Consider the following 22,993-nt stretch of genomic DNA (forward strand, 5'->3'; position numbering starts at 1 on the left):
TTTTATCAAGATTTAATTTCCTTTTAATGTCCATGGTTTTAGCTCCTGCCAAAATTAGAGGCTGCCTCCTCAACTGGTCCAACTTAGGCTTAAAAATATTTTTTACCTTGAAATAATTTAAAATGTATGATAGAGTTGTAAGAACAGTACAAGGAATTCCTGTGTAGCCTTTATCTAGATTCACCAACTGATTACATTTTGTCACATTTGCTTTTTCACTCCCTCTCTCTCTAGACATATAAATTAATATGCATGTATGTATTTACTCATCTATTTCAGAGAGAGTTTCAGACCTCATGCCCCTTTACCTCTAAATACTTCAGTTTGTCTTTCCTAAGGAGAGAAATTATCTTATACAATTACAGTACTATTATCAAATTCAGGAATTTTTATATTAATACCATTTTATAATATACTTAACCCATTAATGTTCTCACCTGGTGTCAAAGCTTTATCAGAGGGTGACTCCAAAATTTAAATATTTAACCTTGACCTATTTTCTCAATTCTAGACTCTTCTACCTAATTTCTTAGTTAACATTAGCATGTAGCTGTCCAATAGACATGTCATTACATTTACAAAGTTAATGTGTATAAAACCAAGCTACTTCTTTCCTACTTCTTCCCGTTACCCATAAAACTTGTTTCTCCTCCAGTCTTTCTCGCCTCAGTAAATGGTACCACCCAGTTATTCAGGTCAAAACCCAAGGAAGCATTTAGTCCTTGCCTACCCATTCCCTACCACAGCCCTGCCCAATTCACACTTGATCCATCAGCAAGTCCTCCAAAACAAATCCTAAATCTAACAACTTTTTACCATCTCCATCACTAAAATCCAAATCCGACTCATTACCATCTCTTGCTTGAATTATTCCAAGTAGCCTCCTAACAAGTTTTCCTGCTTCCTCTCTGCCCCCTACAGTCTGTTTCCCATACAGCAGCCACGGTGATCATCTATCAATCCAAAACTAATCATACCACTGTTCTGCTTAGAACTCTCTAACAGCTTCCTTCTGCAAATAGAATACATTTGTACACATTTGAACTTCTTACCAGAGCCTACAAGGCCCTGTGTGATTATATGCCTGGCTTCCTCTCCTTTCATGCTTCCTTTGCTTACCACACTCCAGTTTTAAAGCTTTCTTTCTGACCCTTGAATACATCATGTATTTTTCCATTTAAGAGCTCTTGTACTTGATATTCTTCTGGCTGGAATGCTCTTCTCCCCAGATCTTTATATGGCTGCCTCTTTCTTATCATTTAACTCTTGGTTCAAATATCTTCATAGTGGTCTTCCCTGAATGAGCTAAAGTCTCCCCTGCCCCTGCTGCTCCTACCACACCCACATTTAGTCATTTTATATGCCTTTGCATTGCTTTATTTTCCTTTATAGCACTTACCAGTAATGGATATAACATGTTTGCGTATTTGTGATTATTGTCTACTTCTCCCATTCCTGTTAGAATATCAGCTCCATGAGGGAAAAGGCTATTTTGTTCACTGATATACCCCCAGTTCCTAAAATAGTACCCGACACAGACCATGGCTCTAGTAAATATTTGTTAGATGAATGAATGAATGGTTCCCCTCTTTGCATTTAGCTCACATATGTCCCCCAGAATCTGGTCCCTGATCGTCTTCTTTTCCTCCCTACATTACTGTTTCTGGAAGATCCCATCCATCCCAATGGCTTCAATTACTATCGACCCAAATAACTTTCAATTTAATTATTGAGTCATTTTTTTCTTTGTGTACCCAAGAACCATAGTTACAACTGTCTACTCGTCCTTTATATTTGGACGTCTTACAGATGCTTCAAATTCCACATGTCTAAAACTAGCTCATTATTTTGTTTCTTTTTGATATAAAGCATATAAAGTACCTAGTCAAATGCTCAGTGTCTAAGAGGCACTCAATAAATGCTAGTTCTTATAAATAGCATTTGTAACTAGTATCTTTTAACTCAATCCAATTTGGCAAGAAACCTTGCACTCATCTTTGACTCTATCTCTTTCCTTTGCTGAATCCACTATCTCAGCTTTCAAGTATTTGGATGCCTGACAACCCAATACCCCTAAAAGTCTCAGCCTCTAATCCTCACTGCAATAACCCTTACTGCCCTTGCCTGGCATACATTCATTCCATTCAATTAGCTATTCAATGAGTATCGAGCATGTAACCCTGCTAAGCACTATGATCACTATACTTAAGATAGGAGGAAAAACAACACATGGACACTGCCCAAAATTTACAGGGGGGAAATAGACAAGTAAACAGGCTGTTACGATTCTAGATAGAGGAAATTAAAGGGTGTTGTTTATGGGAGGAAGCTTAATACAGTCTGGGGATATCAACCCTAACACTTCTTAGAAGTGATAAAGCTTAGGTCAAGTCTTGAGTGTTGAATAAGAGTTAGCTAAACAAAGAAGAGGAAGGAGCAGTCATCATTTTGGGAAGAAGGAGCAGAATGTGAAAAGGCACAGAGATATGAGAGAATATGTTGTAGCTGGATGTGATGGTTAATACTGAGTGTCAACTTGATTGGATTGAAGGATACAAAGTATTGATCCTGGGTGTGTCTGTGTGGGTGTTGCCAAAAGAAATTAACATTTGAGTCAGTGGGCTGGGGAAGGCAGAACCACCCTTCATCTGGTGGGCACAATCTAATCAGCTGCCAGCAAATATAAAGCAGGCAGAAAAATGTGAGAAGCAGAGACTGGCCTAGCCTCCCAGCCTACATCTTTCTGCCATGCTGGATGCTTCCTGCCCTCGAACATCAGACTCCAATTTCTTCAGCTTTGGGACTCAGACTGGCTCTCCTTGCTCCTCAGCTTGCAGATGGCCTATTGTGAGACCTTGTGATCATGTAAGTTAATACTTAATAAGCTCCCCTTTATATATATGTGTGTGTGCATATATATATCCTATTAGTTCTGTCCCTCTAGAGAACTCTGACGAATACATTGGAGAAATATAAGCAGTTGAATGTGGCCATAACATAAAGTGCAGGCTTGTGTGGAGATGGCAGAGATAAACAGGCGTTCTATTTCAAGGGGCCTGTTCACCAAATTAAGGAGTTTGGATTTTAACCTGAACACAATAGGGAACTTTGAAGGGTTTTGGTGAGTAAAGATTTCATGATGAGATTTGCATTTTAAAAGATGACTCTGGTTGCACTGTGGAGAATAAATTCAGGAGGTAGGGAGCATGGTAAAACTAGAGGTAGGTAAACAAATTGAGAGACTTGCAGTGAGCAAACAAGAGAGAAGAAGTTTGAGAAATTTTCAGCATATATAAAATGGCCAAGACTTGCTCAATTAGATATAGCAATAAGGAGCTGAAAAAACTGGGTTCACTGTGAATTATTTACCTTTATAGAGGCACACAGGAGGAGAAGCAGATTTTATCAGGGTTTGGAGGTAGAAGTTAATGACTTTAACATATAGAGTTTTGGAGATACGTGTGGGGTATAAAAATGAAGATACCTAGAAAGAAGTGGTATAAATGGGAGTGAGGTATGGGATGGAGTGAGAGATTTAGAAGTCTTATTTGCTAAATTAAATCATGGAATGAATTAAATCACCCAGAATGTACAGTGTTAGAAGAGTAGAGAAACTTGTGCAGAACTTCAGAGAATATTAATACATAAGGGGCAAGTAGAGGAAGAGGAACCATAAAAAAGGAATAGACAAGAGAAAGCAAAGAAAAACCAGGGGAAGCATAGTGTTTCTGGAGCCAAAGGAAGATAAAATTTTTAGAAGACAATAATGTTCAACAATGTTAAGTGCTGATGAGAAGTTGTACTGAGTTGAATGGTGCCCCTGCAAAATTCATGTTTACCCAGAACCTTTGAATGCAACCCTGTTTGGAGACAGAGCCTTTGCAGATGTAATTAGTTATTATGAAATCATACTGGACTAAGGTAGGACCTAAATCCAATGACTGGTGACCTTACAAGAAGGCCACATAGACACAGACACACAGAGACACAGGGGAAAGGGCCATGTGAAGATGGAGGCAGAGGTTGGAGTGCTATGTCTACAAGCCAAGGAATGCCTAGGGTTGCTGGTAAACACCAGAAGCTAGGAAGAATCAAGGAAGGACCCTCCCTTAGAGCCTTCAGAGAGAGCATGGCCCTACCGACACTTGGATTTCAGACTTCCAGTATCCTGAACTATGTAATCTCTGCTATTTTAAGGTACCCAGTCTGTGTCACTTTGTTGTGACATCCCTAGGACACTAATACAGAGGTGAAGTAACACAGGAACCAAAAGGAGTTCATTGCTTTTCAAAATAGTTTACCTGTGAAAGGAAAAAAGAGCACAATACCTAAAGATGACTATAGGTCTGGGAAAGGTGTTTTCAAAATGGGAGACTTGAGCTGGTTTGTAGACTTAGGGGAAAAAACTAGGACAAGAGAAGGGTAACAGGTTGAAAATGCCTGAAAAAGGGAGAGTGGAAATTAAAGGAGCAAGATTTCTTTAAAAAGTGGAGGAGAATGAGGTCCAGGACACCTGTGAAAAAATTGGGTATGTCCAAGTGAGGAGGTAAACTCTTTTAAGATATACCCCTTTGGGTTTCAGAAAGATAAGGATAGAAAAAAGTCACGTAGATTCATCTATACAGGGTCTTAAATGCTGGGATGAAGTATTTAGACTTATTTCTGCAGGCAGTTGGAGCTTTTTTGAGAAAGGAAATGACATGAGCCAGGCTAAGCACAATAGAGACCTCATAACTCATGAGATTTACCCAAAGCACAATTACTGCTGATTGAAATAAATACAGAGATGTACTTTAGGAAGATTAATTTGGCAGAAGTGCAGAGAATGGGTTGGAGGGCATCCAGACAAGAGGTAATGAGTCCCTGGCAGTAGCAGGACGAAGGAAAAGGAAATAGATGAGATGGATATTAGAAACACTGCACAGGGAGCTCAGAAAGGACTTGGTGACTGCTGGGAATAAAAGAGGGAATTTAAGTGGATTCTACTATTGTGAGCTTGATTGACAAGGATGGGAAAGATGCCATAGACTGAAATAGAGATATTAGGACACTGGAGGGGGTTGGTTGGGTAAGGGTTAATGTACACCTTGGAATGGAAGTCTGGAGCTCAGGAAGAAGGGAAAGCTGGGAAGAGAGATCTGGCAGTCTCCTATATCCAGGAGAGAGGTGAAACCTTTGGAAGTGGATAAATTCATAAAAGATGAATTGGCAGAGGAAAAAGTTAAGGCAAAGGATAGAATCACAAACTTACTTTAGGTACAGAAAGGAGACATTTCCCCCAAGTATAGAAAGGCTTCCTAGAGGAGGTAGCAAATGTGAAACATCCCAGAAACAGTGGAAAGAAACCTTGACTGGTAAGAAGAAGCTGCTGGTTCTAGTCTAGTCTACCTCTGTCGCTGTGTGGCCTTAGGAAAGTCCTTTCTCATTCTAATCCTCAATCTTCTCACCTATAAAATGAGGTCACTGAATACGGTGATTACAGAAACCTCTTTTAGCTCTAGCAGTACATTTTCCTTTGATTGAAGCTTGACTTTGGCCTTTGTTTTGGCAAGAGAGGTAGATAACTTTCTAGATCAAGAAATAGTATACAATGGCAAAGAGGCACATTTAAGAAAAGAGAAATGAATGAATTCAGAACTAGTCATTTTCACAACTTGAGCTATCCAACCTAATGATCATTCTGATTGACAATTATTAGGGTACTATGTGATTGATAATAACACCTGGTCTATGAGTTGTGTAATGAAGTTTTTTTGTTTGTTTGTTTGTTTTGAGACAGAGTCTGGCTCTGTCTTCCAGGCTGGAGTGCAGTGGCGTGAGATCTCGGCTCACTGCAAGCTCCGCCTCCCGGGTTCACGCCATTCTCCTGCGTCTCAGCCTCCGAAGTAGCTGGGACTACAGGCGCCCACCACCATGCCTGGCTAATTTTTTTTTTGTATTTTTAGTAGAGATGGGGTTTCACCGTGTTAGCCAGGATGGTCGCGATCTCCTGATCTCGTGATCCGCCCGCCTCGGCCTCCCAAAGTGCTGGGATTACAGGCGTGAGTCCCCGCGCCTGGCCGGATGAAGTTTTAACCAGTATTGTACTGCCTGCTAAAATCAGTACTGAAGGATAAGTACTGCCTTCCTTTTACTTAGGAAAAAGAAAAGAGCAGTTACCAAATGGCTACTCTGTTTCAGGTACTTTCATATATTTACCTAAAAGGTAATTTACATGAAGGCAAGATTTTCTTTTAAATCTGTTTTATTAACTGATATATCACTAATACCTAAAATAGTGCTTAGCACATAGTTTTCAATATTGTTTGAATGACTTGAAAAATATATGTATATATTTTATATATACACATATTTTATATGTGTGTGTATATAATGTCATTTGATCATTATAACAAACTTGCAAAAGAGACATTAGTGTTCTTATCATACGGATGGGAAAAGAATGACTAAAAGAGGTTATATAAACTTACTCAAAGTCACACAACCTGTAGGGGTCGTGCCAGAGTCAAACACAACAGATTTATAAGCTCCATGTGGGCAGGGAATGTGTCTATGTTATTCTCCATGGTATCCCCAACAGCTAACTCCGTATCTAGATGGAAGTAGCATTTAATAAATATCTTGTGAACAGAAGGAAGCAGGCAAGCAAACACACACTTGTGTGAACCCATATACCATTCATTTTACCCTGTACCAACCACATCATTGCCCAAATTCAAAAGAATAATTGAATCTCAAGAATCCAGCAGTTTGCCTACCATGTTTGTTGGCTTAAATATTCTGTGATTTTTTTATTCATTCTCACTTGTAGACTACGATGGTTCTCTTTCAGTCTTTTTAAGCTTTAGAGAGAGCCTCAAGGTCTTCTTTTTGGAGAATGCTTTATACCAGGGGCCAGCAAACTTAGTCTGTGAAGGGCCAGGTAGTAAATATTTTAGGTTTTGTAGACTATATAGTGTCTGTTGCAACTATTCAACTTTGCCATTTTGGTGTCTTTTTTTTTTTTTTTTAAAAACAGCTATAGACAACACATAGATAGATCAGCATGCCTGCTCCAGTTGCTTTTATTCCAATAAAATGTTAATTGGAAAACTAGTTAGCAGGCCAGATTTGGCCACAGACCATAGTTTACCCCACCTCTGTTTTATATTATTATTTTAATTTTTCTCTCTCTTGCCTTTCCAGGACTTCTCTAACACTGTGCCAACTGTAAACATCTTCCTATCCCTGGTATATTAATACATGGTAGGACAACTTCAGTTTTAACAAGTTTCAACAGTTGTAACCCCTTCCATTTAATTATAGATGGCAGGAGTATTATGACAACAACAAAGACAGGACAGCTAGGGAGGCTGGCAGGTGGCCTAGACAAGGCTCAAAGATATGGCAGTTCCTTTTCATAATCTTAATGCTGGTCCAGGATCTAGATACCAGGTTCATATAATAAAAACTAGATTTTTTGCTTTTTGATCAGTGTACCCAAAATTGATCAGTTATTTAAAAACAGTCTTTCAAATATCCATAATCATAATAAACTGAATGGAATGTCATATGCCAATTTAAGTGACCACGAGAAATATAACTATCAAGAAAACCAGTTACTCATAGTTCCTACTTCCCTACATAAGGATGTGTAAAAAAAAAAAACTCCTGAGTCCTTCCTATGTGTCATAGAGTGTACTAGGTGCTGAGAACGCAACAATGAACAAGCAGCCCCTGTCCTCATGGTTCTAGTCTAAGGGTCATTTTTTTTTCCTCTATAGAGCCAAATAAATATTTTAGGCTTTTTGTGTCACACAGTCTGCCACAACTCAATTTTGCCATTTTAGTATGAAAGAAGCATAGATAGTACATAAATCAATAGGTTCCAATAAAACTTTATTTATGGACACTTACATTTGAGTTTCATATAATTTCACATATCATGAAATACGATTCTTTTTTCCACCAACCATTTAAAATATATACATATATGTATGTATGTGTGTATATATATATCAAAGAGATATCTATACCCCATATCTATTGCAGCAGTATCCAGCTGAGATATAAAATCAATCTAAGTGTTCAAAAACAGATGAATGGATAAAGAAAATGTGGTATATATACACAATGGAGTGTTATTCAGCCATAAAAAGAATGAAATCCTGTCATTTGCAGCAACATGGAGGACGTTATGTTAAGTGAAATAAGCCAGGAACAGAAAGTTGAACACCACATGTTCTCACTCATATGTGGAAGCTAAAAATATTGATCTCATAGAAGTAAAGAGTAGAACAGAGGTTACTAGAGGGTGAGAAGGTAGGGGGAAGGGAGGGATATACAGAGATTTGTTAAATAATACAAAATGGCAAAATTGAGTTGTGGCAGACTGTGTGACACAAAAAGCCTAAAATATTTATTTGGCTCTATAGAGGAAAAAAAATGACCCTTAGACTAGAACCATGAGGACAGGGGCTGCTTGTTCATTGTTGCGTTCTCAGCACCTAGTACACTCTATGACACATAGGAAGGACTCAGGAGTTTTTTTTTTTACACATCCTCATGTAGGGAAGTAGGAACTATGAGTAACTGGTTTTCTTGATAGTTATATTTTTCGTGGTCACTTAAATTGGCATATGACATTCCATTCAGTTTATTATGATTATGGATATTTGAAAGACTGTTTTTAAATAACTGATCAATTTTGGGTACACTGATCAAAAAGCAAAAAATCTAGTTTTTATTATATGAACCTGGTATCTAGATCCTGGACCAGCATTAAGATTAATGTATTATATATTTTCAAATAACTAGAAGAAAGGATATTGAATGTTCCCAACATAAAGAAATGATAAATGTTTGAGATAATAGATATGCTAATTACTGTGATCTGATCACTATACATTGCACATTGGAAAACCACTATGTACCCCATAAATACGTACTATGTATCAGTTAAAATAAATTAAAAAATGGAAGTGAAAGAATAACCTGGAGGCTGATAAATGACATTGGTAAGGAAATGAGAGTGATAATCCCTGCTTGTCTGAGCTTCAAAAATGAAGGGAATCTTACATGAGGGTGGAGGAATGATGGTTCGGAAGTTGTCTATGGAGAGCATGGCTAAACCAGAATATGTCAATATACTGTACATTCAATTGTATCTTGCCTTTTTGTAAGAAAAAGTAATACAGTACCCTAAGACTTTACCCACATCATCAAAAATTACTTGTGTTCATTTTCTCTGTCTGTACATTTTTGTAATTTCCTCCATACACAACCTCTTTCTTTCATGCATATTTCTTAAGGGCATTCCTGATTGCTTATGAGTTTGTTCCCATTACGAATGACATAAATTTCTCCATATAGCTTCTAATTGATTACTGTGGTCTATTGTTACCTTTAAATTTGTTACTCTTTGACTTCTCCTTTGAACTGGTTGTAACACTTTACGTTTTCCTCATTAATGAGTGAAATACAATCTTTAACATGTTCATTTTTTGTCTACGTAAGAATCAAAATTTTGCCTTTTAAAAATTATTTTAATACTTGTAATGAATTGTTACTGTCCTATACTATTGAATTAGATTTCATAGAATTCCATGTATATATTTTGCATCTAAATTCACAAATTGGATAGAATATTCTTTCTTAGAGCAGTCTGTCAGGTTTTGGTATCAGAGTAATGCTAGCTTCAAAAACAATGTGAATAATTCTGCAACATTTTCAATACTATAACATACTTATAGAATTAAACGTGGCTATTTCTAGAAAATTTGAAGGAATTCACAGATAAAAATATCTGTCCCTTAAAGCCCTAAAGTATTTTTAGATGTCCCTAAAGTATTTTTGGAAGTTTCTCTTTGATAATTGTTTTCGAAGTTTCTACTGTTACATGTCCATTTAGTTTTCAACTTCTCAATAATTTCTGGCATTTAATATTTTATTAGATATTTTTAAGTTCTCTGAGATTTTCAAATATATTAAGGTACAATTATAGTAGTGCGCCTTTAATTTAAAAAATCTTTCTTTGTTGTTGTATTCCATTTGTCATTTAAATTTTATTGGTAATTCATCTTTGTTTTCTTGATTAAATTTGCTAAAGGCTTATCTATTTAATTCATCCCTCTGAAAAGAAACCTAGTCCTTGGTTTCATATTATATTGAATTATTAGTCATTTAATTTCATTCTTCATTTTTAATAATAAAATATTTAAGGTTATGAATTTACTTCTGAATATTCTCAAAGTTTTGGTAAGTCATGATCTCATTTTTATTATTGTTTGTTAGTCTGCTAGTGTTTCTTTGTGCTAATATTCACATATAAATGTGATCTAAAATATTCAAGTAATTGAAGACTTTAAAATTTGTTTTTAAATTGTAAACATTGTACATTATCATCAGATATTTCTACTCTTAAGCGTGTGTAGGCTGGGCTTGGTGGCTCATGCCTGTAATCCCAGCACTTTGGGAGGCCAAGGCGGGCAGATCACTTGAGGTCAGGAGTTCAAGACCAGCCTGGCCAACATGGTGAAGCCCTGTCTCTACTAAAAATGCAAAAATTATCTGGGTGTGGTGGTGCACGCCTGTAGTCCCAGCTACTTGGGAGGCTGAGGCAGGAGAATTGCTTGAACCCAGGAGGCGGAGGTTATAGTGAGCCAAGATCGTGCCACTGCACTCTAGCCTGGGCAACAAAGCAAGACTCTATCTCAAAAAAAGAGTTTGCAAAGCTTTTCTTTGTGACATACATATGATCATTTAAAAATATTATCTCAATATTTGAAGAGACAATATGCAGTCTATAAACAATTTTCAAAATGTATTAATTGGATCTAATGAATTGTTTTTCAAATCTTCTAAGTACTTTATTTTGGTCTACTTTATTGTCAATTAAATTATGTTAAACTCTCCCATACAGAAGTTTCTATCACTTTTTGTATAGCTGACAGTTTTTTCTTTATATATTTGGATGCCATGTTTTTTGCAAAAAAAAAATGGTTCATAAATATAATATCTTCAATACGGTTTGTATCATCAATCAATATAAAATGAATATCTTGGGATCAACATGGTTGTGTGGTCATTGTTCCTGATTTTTTTTTCCTAATAGAGAAGTGACATGCTCAAATACCTATTTGGAGAATGGATTGATTAGGAAAAAGTGAGACTGAAAGCTGAGAAGCCAGTGGGAAGGCTCTTAGAATAGTCCAGGTGAGAAATCATGAGTGGCTGGATTAAGACAAAGGCAACCAAGAGGTCTATGTAGACTTGGAATTAATTGAATTGGGTGAGAGAGGAGTTGAGGGTGACACCTACATTTCTGATTTAGCTGACCATTATCTAGACAGCAATATAGGAAGAAGAGCTGGGTTGGCTTTTCAGAATTGGCCATGTTCTAAAGTTCCTTCTGTTTATATTCATCCCAAAAGGACTCAAGCCCAGACCTAAAGCTAAGTGTTGGATCTTTGTCAGCTGATTGTTTACTCAAACCAAAGTCTTTCTACCTGTATAAAACACTAGGCTGAATATTCACAAATTTTAGGGTAATCACACTTCTTTTACGTGTTAAGAGCTCTTTCATAAAGTTGACGAAAAATTTGGACTGAACGAGAGGGAATTAATTTCCTATACCGTGCCCAAGGTAGTCCACATGTGAAGGTTAAGTTTTCCACAAGAGGGCAGCATCACCTAATAAATTATGTCATTGTAAGCCTTCACCAATAGGGGCTGAGATGGGGAGGCTAAAAGGGTAGAAAATACAGGTTCCGGGAGCCATAGGACCTGCCACACCATGAAAACCAAAGGGCCCTGCTAGTCCAAGCCCATAATTATAGCCACTCCTAAGTGACTGATAGTGGCAGATGTTGCTACAGTATGAGGAAAGAGGACATGGAACTCACCCTGGCGAGATGAGTGGGTGAAACACCTGAACACTCTCATTCTTGTGACTGGCTCAGAAGACACTCTAGATAGTGTTCACACTCCCTCTAAGTTGCTGGTGTCTCTGTACAACCAGCATCTCACAGGGGCCTTTATTTCTTATTCAGATCATTGCCACCCCTAATGATTCCTTAGCACATCATTCTCTGCAGGTTAGGCTGCAAAGCACACCACCATTCTGATGCTCTCCCAATTTAACAATGTTTGTTTATTCCAATTATGCTTCTTTTAGACCCTAAGGAAACAAATGGGAATGAAATTCACTGACAACCCATTATGTGACAGTCATTTTACATAAATTATCTTATTTAATCATCACAATAATGCCATTATATAGGAATTATTATTTGTCATATAAGAGACCTAGGAAGTTGCAAACATGGGAATATCTAACTCCAAAACAAAAACGCTTCCAAATTCACCAAATTACCCCTCCAAGAAGCCTTATTTAAGACCTAAATCTTGACCAATCCAAGATTTAATCAGTGATAATGTATCTATTATATAAGGCATTACTTAACATGTCACCTCCTATCCATGTACATGGGCAGGTATGGATTAATCTTAGGTACCAGCAGGTAATAGAAGTCAGTGGGATCCTACATAACCTCATTCTTCCTAGGTCCAAAGCCTTTCTCCTTAAATATTCTCTCTTCAGGATAAATCATTTGGATATAGAACATGAGGATAATGGAATAATTAAAGATGGCTTCTGTGTTTCTGACTTGGTTGGCTGAGTACATACATAGTGGTCCTGGTCATAGATAGCGATCTTGGGAGAAGATGATGATGTGTTAGGTTTGGGGCATGTTGTGTTTGCAATATCTCTGACACATTTAAGTATAAATGTCTAATAGGAAGTTGGTTATATGGTCTGGAGCATAGGAGATATAGAAAATAAATTGAAGCTATAGGGCTGGGTGAGATTTTCCAGGGTACATTAAGTTAAAAATGGTGGAACTATGGGAAACACCAACATTTAAGGAATGGTCAGAGGAAGAGCAGGTAGTAAAGAGCCTGGTTTTTAAAAAATGGACAGGGATGTAGGAAAATAACAAGGAAACTGACTATCTTGAAAGTAAGAGGTTTGGCCGGGCGCAGTGCCTTATGCCTGTAATCCCAGCACTTTGGGAGGCTGCGGCAGGGGGATCACTTGAGGTCCGAAGTTCGCAACCAGCCTGGCCAACATGGTGAAACTCCGTCTCTACTAAAAATACAAAAATTAGCCAGGCATGGTGGTACATGCCTGTAATCCAGTTACTCAGCAGGCTGAGGCAGGGGAATTGTTTGAACCTGGGAGGCGGAGGTTGCAGTTAGCCGAGATCATGCCACTGCACTCCAGCCTGGGCGACAGAGCAAAACTCCATTTCAAAAAAAAAAAAAGTAAGAGCTTTTTTTTTTTTTATTAACACGTAACAGTTATACATATTTTGGGGGTACATGTATCATTCTGATACATACATATAATGTGTAATAATGAAATTAGGAAAATTGGGATATCCATCACTTCAAACATTTATCTTTTCTTTATGTTGAGAACATATGAATTCTTCTCTACTAGCTATTTTGAAATATACAATAGATTGTTAACTATAGTTACCCTACCAAACTATTGAACACTAGATCTTATTCATTCTATCTAACTGTATTTTTATACCCATCATCAACCTCTCTTCAACCTCCCCACTTCCCAGCCTCTAGCAACCACCAGTCTACTCTCTATCTCCATGAGATCCCTCTTTTCAGCCTTTACATATGAGTGAGAACATGTAATATTTGTCTTTCTGGGCCTGCCTTATTTTACTTAATGACCTCCAGTTACATCTGCGTTGCTGTAAATGACAGGATTTCATTCTTTTTATGGCTGAATCGTATTCCATTGTATATATATTCCCCATTTTCCTTATCCATTCATCTACTGATGGATTAGGTTGATTCCATATCTTGTTTATTGTGAATAGTGCTGCAATAAACATGGGGGTGCAGATATCTCTTTTATATGATTTCCTTTCTTCTGAATATGTACCCAGCAGGGGACTGCTAGGTCATATGATAATTCTATTTTCAGTTTTTTGCTAAACCTCCATACTGTTTTCTATGGTGGCTGTACTATTTCACACTCCTACCAACAGTGTACCAGGATTCCCCATTTTCCCACATCCTTACCAGCATCTGTTTTTTTTTTTTTAATAAAAACCATTTTAACTGGAGTGAGATAATATCTCATTGTGGTTTTTAATTTCCCTGAAGATTAGTGATGTTGAGCATTTTTTCATATGCCTGTTGGCCATTTGTGTGTCTTCTTTTAAGAAATGTCTATTCAGGTCTTTGCCCATTTTTAAGTTGGATTTTTTTTTTTTTTTTTTTTTTTTTTTTGCTATTGAGTTGCTGTGTGAGATTTTTGGTATTGAGTTTCATAAAGGAAGGTGGGGGCAAAATCTAGAGCTATAATGTTAAATGCCATATATGATGAATATGAAAAATAACCCATTGACTTTGACAATTAGGCAATAATTTGTAGCTTTTGACAGAGTAGTTTCAGTGGAGTTCTGAGGGTCAAATTCTGGCTGCAGAGGGTGGAAAGCTAAATGGCAGGTGGAGAAGTGGAGATAGTGACTATAGACTCTTCCTTTGAGACTGAGTATGAACAAAAGGAGAAAGACGGGGCAGGAGCCAGAGGGAGAAGTGAGATTGTGGGAAGATGCAAGATGGAAAAACTTAGGTGTGTATATACGATAAAGAAAAAAAAAAACAATAGAAAGGGAGAAGGCTGAGCTCCAATAATACAAAGCAAAGGCGCAGCAGCAAAATGAAAGAAAAGCCATGTGGAAAGTTCACCAATAGGCAGATGCTTTTGGTGGTAGCAGAATGACTGTGCCCAAATATGTCCTTCCCTTCCTTCTGCTTATGCCACTGCACTTACCTGCAATGTCTTCCTCTTCTGATGGTTTATTTTTCAAATTATACTCACCCTTTAGCTTAAATTCCACTTCCTCTATGAAGTCTTACCCTATCAATACCTTCTGCAGTGATCTCTTTCTCTAACAGCAATTTTTGTCTGAACAATCCATTTGATAATCACACACAAGGCTTTATTGCCTTCTTTAAAAATATACTGCTACTTAGTCACATGTGTATATTTTGTCCCCTGCTAGACTGTGCAATCCTCAAGGAAAGGGTTTCTAAGAGTTTGCTACAGCCTCCATGGCTGTAGTAGGGGCTCTTTAAGTCTCCATTGATATGTGGTTCAGGAATGATAGTGTATTATAAAGAAGGAGATTGAAAAACACTGGATTAGGTAGCCCTTTGGTATATAATGAGTAATTTAGTCCTCTTTATAGCAAATAAGGAAACAGTCTTGCAGAGGACTAATAAATATATCCAAGATTATGTGTCTATGTGGCAGTGCCAGGATTTGAACCAAAGGCTCTTTCTCCTGTGCTATTCTGCTTCAGTTGTCTGCAAAATTCTATTCAAGTGAAACACCTCTTTCCTTTATAATATTGATAGAGACATGACTCTATTGAGCTTTATTACCAACCAAGTTTCAGTGGCCTCTGCACCTTACGGAGAATCTCCCTGTACCTTACCTCCTGACAATCAGCTTGAGAATCCGGAAGGAGCCTTTGATGAGAATGAGGGCCTCTTGGCGGGAGCCATATAATGGAGTGCCATTGATATTCACCAGCTCATCACCAGTCCTCATCTTCTGGGACAAAGCTGCCTTGCCTCCATCTTCAATCTGTGTTGCAGAGAACAAAACAGAAAGCAGGTAGTGAGATGACTTTCTCCCCAAAATTCTACTTGTTTCTTCCAACCCTGGAGCCACAAGTAGTACTGGGGAATGGCTCCAGGCAGCTCCTGGGAGTAGCTCAGGAGCTGATCACAGGTCATTATTTACTGAAGGCAAAGCTTGGGCAAACCTTTGAGGAAGGAGGCAACATGGAAATAATGCAATCCCTGACTGGAGGAATGAGCAGTCCAACTGGGAAGACTAGAACTTCTAAATACGAAACTGATGCTTGGAATGAACCCTACTATGTGGCTAAAGCAGCAGCGTGGCCTACCAAAACGTGCAGACAAATTAGAGCCAGAAGAGCTAGGCTCCATCAAAATGACCTTTGGTAAGCTCTTTCCTATCTTTGGGCAGGCTTTGAAGTCTGACAAACGTAAGTTTGAATCCTGGCTCTGCTACTTCCTAGCTGTGTGACCCTTAGGAAGTTACTTAACATCTGTGTCTCAATTCCCTCCTACGTGACATGTAGATAACAAGACTAGCTACCTCACAGAGTTGTTAGTATAGTATATATCTGAGAACAGTAAGTCCTCAATTAACATGAGCTCTGATTATTATAACAAGGGAGTTGACTCTGAAGACCTGGAAAGTGGCTTACAGTTCAACATTCTGTGAGTAGAATGGCAAATTCAAAAGATACAAGTAGGTACAATGTAGCTGCTTCTTTATCTATGTCTCTTCAACATGTGCCCAGCACAGTGCTTCTAGTGTCTGACACACAGTGAGCATTCAGAGAAAGCTGGAAATATGGGTATTTACTGTTCCAACACAGCCTATAGAATTTCCACTAACCAGGGCAATCTGGGGAAGAAGATTGTCAGACTGAGGGGTATTGAAAGCAAAGGCAGAAATAATAGCCACTGGGGCAGGCAAAAGCAAAGCAAAGCAAAGCAGAATGTCTCTGGGGGTCCTTGCTTATGGCTAATTTTATACATTCATTTTTATTACATTCCTTTTACCATGAAGGTGATTTCCACCTATTAGAACATCAATTCCATCCATGATAATCCATGAAAGGAGTCATCTCATCCATCCATTAATCATTCCTTAAGTATTGAATCACATTTCTATTATGTACAGGACAACATGCTACATGCTAGAGATATAAAAATGAACAAGGCTCCTAATTTCTAGCCTCAGGGGCAGAAATTAGTTGTCTACAGCTTGTTTATCAACTAAGACGGTCAGGTAAAAAAGGCTCCAACTCACTGATATAATCAGGAGTTGTTTTTGTTTGTTTCCAGGGAAAGGGAACGTAAGGATAATTAAATTGTATAGTCCTTAGGGGATGGCAGATTCTAAATGGGGCAATTAAGGGCTGGTATTCACTGGAGGTATTTTTACACTTCTACTCTTGTTCCAATCTCTCTCTCAGTCTTTTATAATGTCTCCTCCATCTATCCCCACACCATGGAAGTTATAATATTGTTGAGCTTTAGGTTGGCCAGCTCATGTGCAAATTTGGCAGATGAGACCTCCTGAGTGCAGAGAAAAAATTAAGTTCAGGATTTTTTAAACTCCATCGAATTAATTGAACTTCTGAGTTAAATCACAGAATGTTATTACATTTATTGCTGCTAATCCAACTTTTTTTTAAAAAAATTAACCTTTGTCTGACAAATCATAGGTTAGCCAAGTGACATTGAATATATATGCCTTTGTTCCGGTACCCGGGCCACACTCAACACCAAACAAGCCAATATTGGTAAATGGGGAACAACTCTAAGCAAATTAAACAGGATTACACTCTTATTTCCATTGTCATTATCATTATTACTTCACAGTCACTGCTGCCTACCGCCAAGAAAAAAAGAGAGAGAGAAAAGGAAAGTGCTGTACTTGAATTTCAGAAGTTCTATTTGAATGACTCATTACTTTGGCATCCATAGAAGGCCCTTAGCACCAGTCAGAACTTTCAACAGGGATCAGCCATTTGAAAGAGTTTCCCGAGGCTAACAAAGAACCACAAACAGAAGTCTAACTAATGAATGCTAATAGATTTTCCCTGTTGATGTACATTAGTCTTAATTCACTCTACCCATTGTTTTTAATTCATACAACTTAATTATCCATATTACTGTTACCCATAGCAAGTCTTCCCCTCAATATGTATTAAGTACCATCTTTCGTTAATTAAACACTCTGTTACAGCAGCAAGATCTCTGTTTATTCTAGACCAAAAGATAAAAGGGGAAAACCTTTTAAACTAAAATGCTTAATTATTGCTGTAGCAAAAGCTCAGGCATTTGGCATTCCTTACTGCTCCTTCAGCTGCCACTATCTGAGTCCTTGCACAGACTCCTTCTTGGACTACAGCATCAGGCCAACTGTTCATACCCCTTTTTTCTGTTCCATGCCCCTTCTCAGTCACCAGCATCCTCCTCCTTAAGAGATATGTTAAGTGAAATAATCCTACTTTAGTGCAAGTCTGAAGATGCTCAGACAAAAAGCCAGCAAATTTTGGGTCCCCAGCATAATCCAAGAGTTCAGAAGGGTCCAGATCAGGAAGTAAGACTCCATTTGGTTGAAGATCCCTTCAACTATATCCCAGACTAGCCCTTTTCCAGACCCAGGGTATTTACTGAGCTGTGCAATGGACTCTATACTCTTCCAGACTTGTTGGTCCTTTTTAAATTACTGCTCACTGGTCTTTCTCCTCCCCACTCTACCTCTAGATTTCTGAGGTCTAGCACGTCTTCTATTTATTGTCTGGCCTCCTTACAGCCAGTTCTATAGGTCAATGTCTCAGCCACATATTTGTTTATATGGAAGACAAAGCAGATGTTCATGTTTCTATCAATAAAAAAAGGAAAGGAAGGAAGGAAGGAAAAATGAATGAGAGGAAGGGTGAAGGGGGATGGAGGGGCGAAAGATGATATGCATATTCTTCCGTAAAAGGTTTTGTTTTCCCCTTCCCACCTTCCTCCTCCTAACTCTGGCTGGGGCCCTGGAAAGGTGTGAATCAACAAACTTGTTGAAATTAACATACCTTGTTTGAGGGGCTGTATAACAATATATGATGCTATCCATTCAGTAAGCTTTCCAGCTCTTCCTGAATCAGACCTTCAGGGTGGCTTTCTTGTTTCAGTTGAAGTGTTGTGAATTCTCAGATTAGACCCAGATGCATTGGAATGTCGGTATAAACACACATCACAAAGCTCAATGTAAACGATGGTTAACTTATGTGTCATTTTGGATTACCCAAGTGATTGCTGGGCTAGCAGTGAGTGGCCCAAGTAATTGAAAATTGATTACATAGAGGTCATATAACCAAAAGCCAGGTGGTGCCTGGAAAGCTAGGAAGAGCTGATTGACTTTGGACAAGTCCCTTTCCCTTCTTGCAGCCTCTCTTCTCTTACTGGTAAAATGTGTAAGAGGGACTGACCAGATGATCTCCTGGGGCTCTGACAGCTCTGGGCCTTTTCAGCTCTGACATTCAGTGACCTGTGAACAGTTAGCAAAGTCATGCATTATCCTTCTGCTGACACAGATAATCTCAGCTTTTTGTCCCATTGTACTCTGCCTTCACCCATGTTTTACTCCTTCAAAATTGACTAATTAACATCCATCTCTCAATTCCCCTGGTCTTTATCCACTGTTTCAGAGTGGTCCACCAAGGTTGGAACACTTAATAAGGCCCAGTCAGGACACTGAGAGAAAGAGATTCCTGAAGCCCTATTTTGTGCTAATGAGCTAGCAATTTGGAAATTTTTGATGGGTCTTCAATGAAGCATGAAGTACTCTGATAGCTGTCAACAAAGTGACAAGTTGGCCCCTTGAGAGTAAAGGCAAACAACAATTGACTTAACAGCACTTGCTGGCTTTCTAGTAGCTTTTATTTAGTCAGATACTAACAGATACTTGCTTGGGTCTTTGAATACATTTAGGAGATGAAAAAGGGAATAGAAGAATTATTAAATCAGGTTTATAATTTAAAAATGCATTCAGAGGAGAAACACCATCTGCAGCAATAACTGACAGGTACTGAACACCTATTACAATAGTGTAAGAGCAGCATTAAAAATCAGTGACATGATTGTGAATACCTCTGCCTGCTACAGGAAATTTATTGGAAAAAATGGGCATCAACTGAAACTTTCTTGGTCAGTTCCAAGAGCTTCTGGCCAAATTACCAGCCCATACTGCTACCTCCACCAGCTTGTCTATCATCTAAAGAAGGCAAACAACATAATTGTTTAAATTGATGTGTTTGTTTTTTTGTTTTTGTTTTATTGTTTTTGCAAATAGACAGAAAAGATCCACTCAGAATACTGTAGTCCAGTTATTTAAAGAAAGAATATACCTTCCGAATATCTTTTTAGCATCTTAGAAAGATTTTCAAGTTTTTACTAACACTCCAGGCATCCGTTCATCAATTTGGCCTTTTCTGGGAAACGAATAGAAAAATGTAGAGCTAGGGTTAAGCTGGCTTTGGGAAGTTTAACTATTAAGAAGTAGGAGCATCAAAGAATGAATAAAGTGCTTGCTCATTCTGAAACTTAGTTTGAAATCTTAAGCAAACCACAGGTTGGGGGCTGTTTCTAATCTACCCTCTTTTTCCTTGTTGGTATCTCTTAGAATCTGATCATGCTAGGAGAAATTAATCAGGGTTCCCTGGACATGGGAGATACAGGCTTTCAAACCTCGGCAGTCTTCTTGCCATGGCTTTCAATACCTAACTTGTCTCTTTCAGCAACTTCTTCCCTTAAAAACCGCTCTCAAATTTCCGAAGCAGTCTAGATTAGAAAACCAAGAAACTCTGTTCCTAATTTCATCTTCCGTACTTTACACCAGTTTTCCAAAAGGCAAAACAGACAACAAAAACTTTTCAATGAGAATTGAAAAACAATAACCAATTAAAAAGATGTAAGTAGACCTGATTCAAAGGAGTAATCCCTATATGTGGATAGAGGGAAGAGGTGTACACCAAGGGAGAAGCCATTCTTTCCCTCTACCAGCTAATAAGCAGATGCCCAAATCCTACAAGGAGCTGCCCCAGAGTATAAAGCTCTGTGAATCAGGCCCAAGGGCTCCCCTGACCTTGAGCCAACGGAACTATGCGCTGTGCCCCACAGCATGACCTAGCCCAACAGACAGCTTCTTCCTCCCCAGCTGCTTAATCACCATCTAGTTTACTAATCCTCACAACAAAGGCCGTCTAAGCTCCAAATCATTAAATTTCCCTGGGGATTAGCTCCAGTCAAATTCTAAGCATCTTTGCCAAAACTCAGCCCAGTGCCACCAGCTCTAGGAATTTGGTGGTGAGGACAGGGGAAGAAGACTCAAGAGCACTGTCCCCTATGTCAGCAACCAAAGGCAAATTTGTCTTTGCTCCTGCCAAGTCAGATCGTCCTGCTGTCTCTATAAGTCTGGTAAGGGGAGACAAACGTGACGGCACAAGAGTAAACTGAGGGTTTCTTACATTGCTAGCAGATATGCTCACTGGGGCTCTGTCACCTCTAGCCATTTGTTTACACTGAAGTGTTCTTCTGACATTAATGCTATCAGTGTTTGTGGCAAATGTTAGTCTTTGGTGGTATAGAACAATAGTGTTCAGAATGGGGTACATATATCCCAGGCTGTGTACAAGGTGATCCACTGGAACTTCTGTTTATATATCTACAAAAATTTAAAAATCAAGCTTTATTAATATTTAATATTGGTGATAATAAATTAGATCATCCATAAATAAAATTGTGTATACTGGGGACACATACTCAAAACATTTTTACTGATGTACATTTTTACTAAAAATGTTAGCTGGATTACAGACCCAATGAGAGGACTAAAATCATAAGGCTTTTAGAGAAAAACATGGAGCATATCTTTGTGACCTTGAGGTGGGCAAAAATTTTTTAAGCAGGATGCAAAAGGTAGTAATCATAAAGGAAAGAGTGATACATTGGAGTTCATCAAAATAAAAAAAATCTTCAGCTCTAAAAAAGGGAAAAGACAAGCCACAGACTGGGAAAATATTCATAATACATATTACCTGACAAATGACTTATATCCAGAATATTAAAAGAACTACAAATCAATAAGAAAAAGGCAAATAGCCAATTAACAATTGGCAAGGCTTGAACAAGCACTTCACTAAAAGAGATAGCCAAATACCCAATAAGCATCTGAAAAGGTGCTCAATATAATTCTTCATTAGGGAAATGTGATTTAAAATTATAGTAAAGTGTCACTACATATCCACCAGAATGGCCAGAATTAAAAAGACTTAAGTATTGGTGAGAATGTACAGCAATTTGATCTCTCTACGTTGCTGGCAGGAGTATAAAGCTGTACAACCATTTTGGAAATCTGTATGCCTACTCTCAGATCCAGCAATTCCATACTTAGAGACTCCGAAGAGAAATAAGTGCACGTGTCCATAAAAAGATTTGATTGTTCACAGCAGCTTTATTAATAATAGAAAGTAGGAACAACCCAAATGTCCTTCAAAACATACACATACAAAAAATGACATGCTATACAGCAGTCAAAAAAAAGCAATATATGTAATAAAATGAATGTCTAAAAGATTATGTTGCATGAAAGAGACCAGACAAAAACAACACATACTGTATGATTTCATTTTATATGAAGGTAAAGAAGAGAGGTGATAATTTGAAAAAATGGTTAACTCTGTACTACTGATTGTAAAGGCAGATGAGCATAATTTTTGGGGGGTGCTAGAAATGTTCTACATAGTTATCTGGCTGCAGATCATATGGGAATATACATAACTAAACATTCATTAAGATTTGTGCATTTTACTATATGTAAATTATTCCTTAATTTAAGAAAGAATTAAAAGAATAATTAGATCAGATTCTAAGAGATACCAACAAGGAAAAAGAGGGTAGATTATGGGGGCAGTTTCCCCAATGCTGTTCTTGTGATAGTGAGGGAATTCTCACGAGACCTGATGGTTTATTCTTTATTCTTTAGTCTTTAATTCTAGACTATTCAGCTTATATTTCTGAGGTAGGCACCAAGACTCCAGCATCATTTTCACATACTCATAGTTTTAATCAAGGCAAAACATTTCTCTTAAAACGTTAGCCTTCACAATAGGGCTATAATCTATTAATCTACCCACTGTTCCTGTCTGCTTTGAGATAGTATTCATCCTCCCTACCTCTTAGAAGGTAGAGGATTTCAGTAAAAAATGAAAATAAAGAACAACACTTTATTTTACCAGTTGACAGGTAAAGGTGAAAAGTCTTAATGATTTGATTCCATTTTTAATCTCCAGCCAATTTTTGTCTTGACATATTATAAAAA

The 22,993-nt window shown here is 37.9% G+C and overlaps 1 protein-coding gene across 14 annotated transcripts in view, besides 1 other annotated feature; it reads right to left on the minus strand.

The window, feature by feature from the left end:
• The window catches only part of SHROOM4 (shroom family member 4), a 238,661-nt gene that overhangs the window by 104,740 nt on the left and 110,928 nt on the right, over positions 1-22,993 (minus strand). For all 14 annotated transcript variants that reach the window (XR_007068197.1, XR_007068196.1, XR_001755718.3 and 11 more), the window contains exon 2: positions 15,513-15,664. Coding sequence is in view for 7 of the 14 variants with exons in the window: in XM_047442279.1 (XP_047298235.1) it covers positions 15,513-15,664 (152 nt within the window). In the remaining 7 variants the exon portion in view is untranslated. The remainder of the gene's footprint in view (positions 1-15,512; positions 15,665-22,993) is intronic.
• Positions 17,365-17,896: an enhancer, noted in NCBI's record as "NANOG hESC enhancer chrX:50440638-50441169 (GRCh37/hg19 assembly coordinates)". NCBI's record gives its function as "activates a minimal SCP1, AML or CMV promoter by ChIP-STARR-seq in naive H9 embryonic stem cells {active_cell/tissue: H9 hESC(naive)}" and the evidence as "EXISTENCE:reporter gene assay evidence [ECO:0000049][PMID:30033119]".

Source organism: Homo sapiens, chromosome X (assembly GCF_000001405.40).
Source record: "Homo sapiens chromosome X, GRCh38.p14 Primary Assembly".
Taxonomy (NCBI): domain Eukaryota; kingdom Metazoa; phylum Chordata; class Mammalia; order Primates; family Hominidae; genus Homo; species Homo sapiens.